The following is a 9,285-nucleotide window of genomic DNA, read 5'->3' on the forward strand; positions in this document are numbered from 1 at the left end:
ATTCACCTCCAAACATTTCTCCTGTTTCCCGTGGTCGGGAATTCAGACAGGGCAAGGTGAGGATGGCTTGTCTCTGCTCTGTGATGTCTGGGGCCTCAGCTGGGAGACCTGAAGGCGGGGGTTTGTGGGCTGAGGGCAGAGCCATGTGAAGGCTTGCATGCACGCATGGCTGGCAGCTGTGCTGGGCCAGAGGGGGCTTTTAGCTGGAACACCTGCATGTGGTGTCTCCATGACCTGGGCCCCCTTGTGATAGGGTGGCTGGGTTCCCAGGGTGAAGGTCCCCAGGGAGAGAGGAAGACAGCAAGGCGGGAGGGCGCCACAGGAGGCAGGAGGGCGCCACACCGTCCTTTTAGGACCTTGGTTTGGGAGATGCTCAGTGTCCTTCTGAGCCTTCTACTGTTTGCTGCTCCAAGCAGTTTCCTGTGGGTGTCGGGTGTAGGGTGGACCCCAGATGGGCTCTACTACCATCTGCTACCACAAGGTTACCTTCCTCATAGGGTCATTGTGAGGCATTAATCTGTTAGATGATCCTCATAATGGACTTAAACCAATGCCTCATATGCAGTAAGCGTCTATTATGTTTACTATCATGATTATGAGAGAGAGCTGGAAGGAGTGGTCCCTGGTACTGTGGGAGCTTAGTAAGGGAGCCGTCACCTCATCTTGGGGAGGGGCAGTCAAGGAAGATTGACCTAAGGAGGGGCTATTTCAGCAGCAATCAAAGGCAGAGTGTCAGGGAACGGACTCCAGCCAGAGGCACAGCACATGCAAAGGCCCTGAGGCTGGCAGGGTGCGAGAGAAACAGAGGGGGAGAGAGAGAGAGAGAGCAGAATGAACTGAACAGAAATCTGGGTTCCAAGCCTGGTTTTCTCAGGACTAAATGAAGAAATGAAGCTTTGTGTCATCTGAGGAGGGGCTACCAGACCATGATTTTGCTGTGGCTGGGGCCTAAAGTAGGTCAGCCAGCCTCGTGTGGGGAGCAGCTAAGGAGGCCACAATGACCTGCTCCCTCCTGGCTAAGGGGGTAAGAGTGGAGGCTGCAGCTGAGAGCCCTCTCACCTGAGGAGCCTGCAGGCACTATGGCAACCCCACCCTGAACACCCCAGGGTGAGGCAGAGGACTGGGGTCCCCTGCCCCCTAACCTAAAGGCCCTAGCCTCCCAAGCCGACCTTCCACTGGGATGGCCTCTCGCCTCCTTAACTGTGGCCAACCCCGAAGTCTGAGGGCAAAGTCCATCCCCGCCTTAGTTTGGGCTCTGGTTGCACAGGGAGTGGGAAGACCCCATCTCTGAAGGCCTCCTCCCAGACCCCCAGACCTTCACCTGCCCTACCCTCAAGAAATACCCTGTCCAGTTCCATGGACATCCCCTAGGGACTGGGGCACAGTAGCTCAGCCCCCATGGGTGGGAGTGAATGACACGGAGCAGCCCCTCCCTGTCCCTCACGCCACTGCCCAATGCAGCAGACGGGAAGGCTGCTCTGTGGCCTGCCTGGAGGGACAGCAGGAGAAAGATTTAATTGCAGCCTGGCCCGTAGCCTCCTCTGCACTGACCTCCTGCCTCCTGCCGGCCACACCCCAGGCTGGGCATGCTTTAATTAAAGACCAAGAGCTGCCGAGAGGAGGCCCTGCTGTCCGCCTCCCACTGGCTGGTGCAGCTGCCACGTGATTACCAGCTGACCCTCTGCAGGGGTGAGGGGTCTGTGGCCTCGCAGAATCGATAGGGCAGTGGGCCACACTCTGGCTGGTGGGGGCCACAGTTGCTGGGCTGTTCTCTGATCCATCGACCCCAGACAGCAAGACACATGCCCTGGAGTTGTCCTTTGTAGAAAACTGGCCTTCCTGGGGGTACTCCGCTTCCTTTTCATCTCTGGGATGTCTGTGAGCCACATGGGTCGGGTGTAGGGCAGCTGTGCAATGAGACTGTGGCCAAACGATGCCAGAAGCCAGCATTGGTGGGTCTTCATCCATGGGAGCAGCACAGCGTGGAAGCTAAGAGAACAGACTCGGAGCCACCACCTGGGTGCGTGTCTGTGGCTTCTTAACTGTGCAACCTTGGGCAAGTCACTCAACCTCTCTGAGTGACGCTCCTCATCTGTACATTGGAGAGATCCACAGTGGCCTCTTGTGAGGACTGAATGAGTGGGCAGAGCGCCAAGTGGGTGGGTAGGCCCTGAGAATGCCCACTGTGTGTCCTCAGCCACCTCTGCGAGGCCCCGGGCTGGGGTGCATGTCCTGTACACGTGCACACTGACTGCTCACCCCTTTGAGCACCTGCTAGAGGGGCTCAGCCGCCTGGGGACAGGGCAGCCTGGAAGTTCATGGATGGAGGGCCCTGGGAACAGTCCTCGGTCCATGAAGAACAGAGCTGGTGGATAAAGACCCCAGTTTCTCTGTCCTGTAGCCTCACAGGGGGCACTTCTTTTTTTAAAAAAAGTGTTTATACTGTTTTTATTTTATTTTGCACAGTTCTTTTTATCCTTAAGTTATATGTCATTAAGGATATACTATCTAATGACTATTTTAAAATTTTGATTGTGGCAAAATACATATAATATTTTTCATCTTAACCATTGTTATGTTTGGTAGCGTTAAGTACATAATCACTGTTGTGCAACCCAACTCCAGAATTCTTTTCTTTTGAGACAGGGTCTTACGCTGTGACACCCGGGCCGAAGTGCAGTGGCATGATCTTGGCTCACTACAGCCTCTGCCTCCCCGGTTGAAACAATTCTCCCACCTCAGCCTCCCAAGAAGCTGAAATTACAAGTGTGCGCCACCGCGCTTGGTTAATTTTTGTGTTTTTTGGTAGAGACAGGGTTTCTCCGTGTTGGTCAGGCTTGAACTCCTGGCCTCAAGTGATCTGCCCACCCTGGCCTCCCAGAGTGTTGGGATTATAGGCATGAGCCACTGTACCTGGCCCATAATTCTTTTTATCATGTAAAACTGAACCTCTGTCCCCATTAAACAATTTCCCCATCCCCCTGCCCTAGCCCCTGACACCCCCCAATCTACTTTGTGTCTCTATGAATTTGACCACTCTAGTACCCCATGTAAGTGGGATCATACAGTGTTGGTCCTCCCGTGGCTGTCTTATTTCACCCAGCATAATATCCTCAAGGTTCACCCATGCAGTAGCAGGGGTCAGGATTTCCTTTCGTTATAAGGCTGAGTCAGTTTATTGTGTGTATACACCACACTTGAAAAAATAAATTCAGTCATCCATCAACACTTTTGGCCATTGTGAAAATATGATTATGAAAAATACTGCTTTTATATTGTGTACAAATATCTGATTGAATCCCTGTTTTCTTTTCTTTTTCTTTCTTTCTTTCTTTCTTTTTTTTTTTTTTGAGACAGTGTCTCACTCTGCTATTGCCCAGGCTAGAGTTCAGTGGTGTGATCTCAGCTGACCACAACCTCCGCCTCCCAGGCTCAAGGCTCAAGTGTTTCTCCTGCCTCAGCTTCCCGAGTAGCTGGGATTAGGGGTGCATGCCACTACCACCCAGCTAATTTTTGTATTTTTAGTAGAGACAGGGTTTCACCATGTTTGCCAGGCTGGTCTCAAACTCCTGACTTCAAATAATCCAGTCACCTCGGCCTCCCAAAGTGCTGGGAGTACAGGCATGAGCCACCAGGCCCGGCCTGAATCCCTGTTTTCAATTCTTTTGATCACACACCCCAAAATGGAGTTTCTGGGTCAAATAGTAATTATATTTTTTGAGGAACCACTGTACTGTTTCCATAGTGGTTGCACCATTTGACATTCCCACCAACAGTGCACAGGGGTTCCTATGTCTCCATATTCTCATCAACATCTGTTATTTTCTGCTTTTTTGATAGCAACTATCCTAATGGGTATGAAGTGGTGTTTTATTATGGTTTTGATTTGTAGTTCTTCAATGATTAGTCATATTGAGCATGTCTTCATGTGCTTTTTGGCCATTTGTATATCTTCTTTGGGGAAACATCTGTTCGAATCCCTTGCCCATTTTTGAATTGCTTGTGTGTGTTGTTGCTATTGAGTTGTAGGAGTTCTTTATATATTCTAGATATTAACCCCTTGTCAGATATATGATTTGCAAATATTTTCTTCCATTCTGCTGGTTTCCTTCTCACTCTGTTGATTGTGTTCTTCGATGCACAGAACTTTTAAAACTTAATGTAGTCCAGTTTATCAATTTTTGCTTTTGTAGCCTGTACTTTTGGTGTCATATCTAAGAAATCATTGCCAAAGCCAATGTCATGAAGATTTTCCCCAGTGTTTTCTTCCAAGAGTTTTACAATTTTAGCTCTTACGTTTATGTCTCCCATCTATTTTTGTATATGGTGTGAGGTAAGGGCCCAAATGTATTTTTTTTTGTATATGTATACAAAAATGTAAATTTTTGTATATGGTGTGAGGTAAGGGCCCAAATGTATTCTTTTGCTTTGGGAGATCCAGTTTTCCCAGCACCATTTGTTGAAAGGGTTGTCCTTTCTCCATTGAGAAGTCTGGGCAGCCTTGCTGAGGAGTACTGGACTGTATATGTGAGGGTCTGTTGCCATGGCAGGGGATCTGGGCATGTGCTCCAAGGCTTGTAGAGGCCCCAGTAGGATGGACCTTGGCCGCCCACAGTGGTTGCTTGCTCAGAGCAAACTCTGTGCTGCCTGCTTTCCTCTGCATTTCACTCCCCCTCCCTTACTTACGTTTCCTGGATAGTTTCCCAAAAAACCAACTACACCCAAGCCCTTGCTCACTGTGTTGCCCAGGCTGATTTTGACCTCCTGGACTCAAGCGATCCTCCCGCCTTAGCCTCCCAAAGTGCTGGGATTACAAGTGTGAGCCACCCTGCCTGGCCCAAGAAATGTTTTTTTAATTTGTCTTTTTGTGATAGTAACCATGGATATTTTTAAGTATCTGGCATTTCTAAGGCCTCCAATTGGCTGCTTCCACACATTTTGCATTCTTTATTCATCACAATTACTCTGAAAGGTCCCTGTTACAATCTGTGCCTGATCAGAGAGAAGAGAGGGGCCTGTGGAGGTTGAGTGCCAGCCCAAGGTCATGGCTGGAAGTGGCTGAGCTGGGACTGCACTGGGACTGTCTGATCCCAGATCTGGTCTCGTTCCTGCCCTGCATCAGAACCCATGGAGCTCTTGCGAAGTCTGCTTAGTGCTTCTGGGCACATCAGGAACTGGATCGTGTGCCTGCCCTCAAGGCACTGCTGCATCTCCATGAGGGGGCCCGTCTTTCTCAGCAGGGGACACTGCAGGCCCAGCCAGGCGTGGACACTAGGCATGCCCTCTCTGCAGGTAAGCAGGGTTTGGGGAAGGCTCAGAAGCTCGAGGAGCCATGCCCTCTACTGTGACCGTCAGCAGCAGAAGCTGTCATCCCCCAACTCTGAACACTGCTGTTCCAGCCTCCCCCATCACTCCCTGTCTCCCACCCCCAGGACACAGCCCTGGTCTGGGCTCGAGGTTCTCTGCAGGCAGGAGGTAGATGAGGCCCACATTTGCTGCTGCAAGCCTCCCCCTGCAGGCTCCTTCTCTGCTAGCTGGATGGGCTACTGTTGCCTTTTCACAGCTGACAACTCCAGATGGACTTGATACACACACTTCTCCACGTCAGAGTGAGAGGTCACAAACGGGGTGTGTGTGGAAGGGAATCCCTGACCAGCCGGTGGCTGCAGGAAGCCTCCCAGGGTAGCCAAGAAAGTATGCAGTTGACCTGCAAGTGCAATCAGAAGATGAGTGTTCCAAGCAAAGGGCTCAGCGTGTGCAGAGGCACAGACCAGATGCCCCTGGAGCAGCAGGACCAGCCCTGCAAGGTTGGATTGTGGTGGCGGTGTGAGTGCTAAGCAGTCATGCAGTTCATGAGCTCAGCAGTGGCAGCTGTGAGGGGAGCCTGTCCACTTCCATAGGCTCAACCAGCAAGGACACAGCGAGCCCACATGATTCAGTCTGTTACACAGATGGCAAAGGCAAGATCAGCCTGGTGTTAGCCCCTGCAACCCCCTGGTCCTCCAGCACGACACTGGGCCAGATGACACAGTGGTGGGTCCTTAACTACAGGCAAGCAGTCCTGTTGTTCGCTGCTGCATCTGGAGGAGGAGGACCAAGAAAGACCCTGGCGTGGCTGGAACTGGGAGGAGGGTGAAAAATGGCCTTGTGACAGCTCTTCATAGTGCCATCTGTCTTCCCGGTTCTCAGGGAATTCCATCACAGTGAGGGCTGTACTAAGGTGGAGCCTCACCTGCACAGCCAGAGTGGGGACCTGCAGGTGGTCTGTGGCCTCCCCTTGGCCCTAGTGCCCCCAGCACCAGGGTAGCTGGCCCAGGTGGAGGCTGCATTAGACACCTTCATGGCTCCGAGAGGGTGGCATCTTCATGGGAGTGTGAGCTGCCTGCCATTAGCCCCACAAGAGGCTGGCTTGGGTGTGCCTGTCTTTGCCTGTTCAAAGGGGCCAGGCTGTCCAAACAGACACTGGATCAAGGACAAGTGCAGCACAGGTTAAACCACTCTCCCGTCACTGTAGAATCTCACCATGGCTCAGGGTAACTTCCCCTGGTGCATTTCTTTCTCTATGTCTAGCTCATCATATGAGATATAAAAGAGGAAAAGACACAAGCTGGTTATCTATTGCTGAGTAACATATTCTCTGAAAACTCAGTCTTAAAACAACAATATCCTAGGCTAGGAATTGGGATAGGTACAGTTGAGAAATTCTCCTGTTTCATGTGGCATAGGGCTAGGTGCCTCACTGGTCTGCAGTTGCCAGCTGAGTGGTCTAGAGGGCTAAGGGCAGCTCCCTCCTGTGTGGCACCTGGCAGAGATGGCCGGACAGCTGGTCTCACCTGCATCTTCAGAGTCTCAGTGGGGCCCCTCTGTGTAACTTGGGCTTCCTGGTGTAGCAGTACAAGCCACAGTACCTCTGCAAATGCTGAAGCTGAGTTGCATGGCTGCCCAGGGTGGTCGACTCTTACTGGCCCTCAGGGCTCCTGGGGGCAGGCAGCGGCTCGCTGTCTGTCTAGAGGCTGGGCTCAGCACTGGCCTCTTCTGTGGGCCCAGCAGGCCTCGGGGCCAGCCTGGATTCAGAATGGAGTCAAGCTCTAGCTCTAATGGCAGGAAGAGCAAAGACTGTTCCACGAAAAAAAAAAATCACCCACAGATCATTCGACCTTCCTTATTTAAGACTGCAACATATTTTCTTCAAGTCTTTTTTTAAAAACCATATTGTGATCATATGTTCTGCTTTTTTAACTTAACATTCCACTTTGAACATTTTCCTAGGTCACCAAAACTTCTTCCTAAGTTCCATTTTTGATCTTTGTAGGCATGCACCATGATATATGTAACTGCCTCCTGACAGCGAAACATTTAGGTTTTCCTCTTCTTTGATAGCAGAGATGCGGCTGCCCTAGCTATCTTTTATGGAAACCCTTGCTTTGCTTTGCTTTCCAAGGTGCCATCAGTCTCGCCTGCTGGTACTGTGTGGAGCCTGCCCCTGGCCTCCCCTCCCTGCCTGGGCCTAGGCCTGATGCCCTCCTCTTGTGGCTTTTGCCTCGTTGAGCTGTTCGCCATGCACATGCTTGGCCCGTTCCCTGGGCTGGGACTCTCTTTCCTTGGTGTTTCCTATAAGGCTCCCACTTCTCAGTGTTGGAGCCTGAAGCACCTCATAGAGCTAATGGTGGAATCTTCACCTTGGTCTGTGCCCAGCAGCCAGGGAGGCTGGAAAGTGGATGTTTGCAATTCTCATTTAGGGAGCCAGATTTCCACTCCAGGAAACTAATAGCAAATGAATGAATAAATGATAGTGAATGAATAGTGATAGTGAACCTCAAGCATTCCAAGAGTTTGGGGCAGCCATGAGTGACAGGTGTCCATCACATGTGGCAATGCCATTCCCCATTGCAGATGATGTCTAGGGGATGCAAAGGAAGAGGTTATGATTCTTGTCTGACAAGTAAGGCATGGTGAGAGGAAGTCATTTGCCCAAGGTCACACAGCCACTGCGAGGCTGAGCAGAGGCTCTGATTCTAGTCTGTTCATCTGCAAACCCAAGCTCTGGTGGGTACCTGGGGTGTGACTACTGCAGAAGCTCAGCTGTGTAGTCGGAGCCACCAAAGGACAGGGGCAACCTGGGGAGAAGCCGCTGCATGTTCTGCCTTGGCTTCCCTGATCCTATTCTCAGCCTGGAGGCTGGGGTGAAGGAAGGGGCTCCCGCATCCTGACCTCCCAGCCAGCAACCAACAGGAGGGAAGGCTTCTTCTCCCAACTGCAGCCCACAGGCCAAATCGAACCTGCCACCTGTTTCAGTGAATCAAGATTTATTAGAACACAGCCACACCTATTCTCTAGGTTTCATGGCTGCTTTCAAGCTATGGCCGTAGAGTAAAGCAGTTTGACAGAGACTGCGTGGCCCCCAAGCCAAAGATACTTACATTTGTCCCTTTGCAGAAAAAGCTTTCCAACTCCTGGTCTGTCCTTGTCCTCAGGCCTAGACCTGTCATTCAAACTTTGGACCTTGAAAGTATTGTATCTCTCCAGAGTCCTTTAGGAACATGCAAACCATCCTGCCTGGAGGGCAACTGTCAGGATTGTCCCATTCCTGTGTCCTCACACCTTCTTTTCAGATGTTTTCTCACTGTGACTCGATGGTCCTGATGGGTCATTGAGGGCAGGGACAATTGGAAATAGATGGCTTGGGATCAGCTTCTGGAATAACCACTTTTTCAGGACTGTTTGGACTGTAAGTGACAATCCCAACTCAAACAAGCTCTGGCAAAAACAGAAACCTACTGGCTCAAATAACCCGAAGTCCCCAATTATTTTTGGCTTCAGGCATGGCTGGATCCAGGTGCTTAAAAGCTGTCTCTCTACCCTTTGGCTCTGGTTTCCTCTGCATTGACTTCATTCTCAGGCAGGCTTTTGCTATGTGATTAGCCAAGAAGTCCACCAATGACCAAAGGCTGAAACCTTCCACCAGACAGAGTCTTACCCCAGTAGCTTCTGTCAAAGTCCTTAGAAAGAGCTCCGGGGCTAAGTACTGACACCTTCCACTGCTCACTGTGGTTGGGGCATGGATCAGTTTCGCTGCCCAGGCTTGGGTCAGGACCTGGGGCTGGGTCCATTCCACTCGGTTACAAGAGCTCAGAGTAGAGGTGGGAGGGCTCCCCCGGGATGCCCTTCTGTTAGTAGATGGGAGTGGGGCAGAAACACGCTGGCAGAGGAGCAGGCATCCTCCGCAGGCCCGCCCCATCCCTGGCCCACTGCTGACGGCAGCCCTGGTGCTGTGCTCCCTGCTCT

At 51.3% G+C, this 9,285-nt stretch overlaps 2 annotated features.

The window, feature by feature from the left end:
- Window positions 1,637-2,249: an enhancer, noted in NCBI's record as "H3K4me1 hESC enhancer chr3:126811845-126812457 (GRCh37/hg19 assembly coordinates)". NCBI's record gives its function as "activates a minimal SCP1, AML or CMV promoter by ChIP-STARR-seq in primed H9 embryonic stem cells {active_cell/tissue: H9 hESC(primed)}" and the evidence as "EXISTENCE:reporter gene assay evidence [ECO:0000049][PMID:30033119]".
- Window positions 5,163-5,800: an enhancer, noted in NCBI's record as "H3K4me1 hESC enhancer chr3:126815371-126816008 (GRCh37/hg19 assembly coordinates)". NCBI's record gives its function as "activates a minimal SCP1, AML or CMV promoter by ChIP-STARR-seq in naive H9 embryonic stem cells {active_cell/tissue: H9 hESC(naive)}" and the evidence as "EXISTENCE:reporter gene assay evidence [ECO:0000049][PMID:30033119]".

The sequence above is a fragment of the Homo sapiens genome, chromosome 3 (genome assembly GCF_000001405.40).
Source record: "Homo sapiens chromosome 3, GRCh38.p14 Primary Assembly".
NCBI lineage: Eukaryota > Metazoa > Chordata > Mammalia > Primates > Hominidae > Homo > Homo sapiens.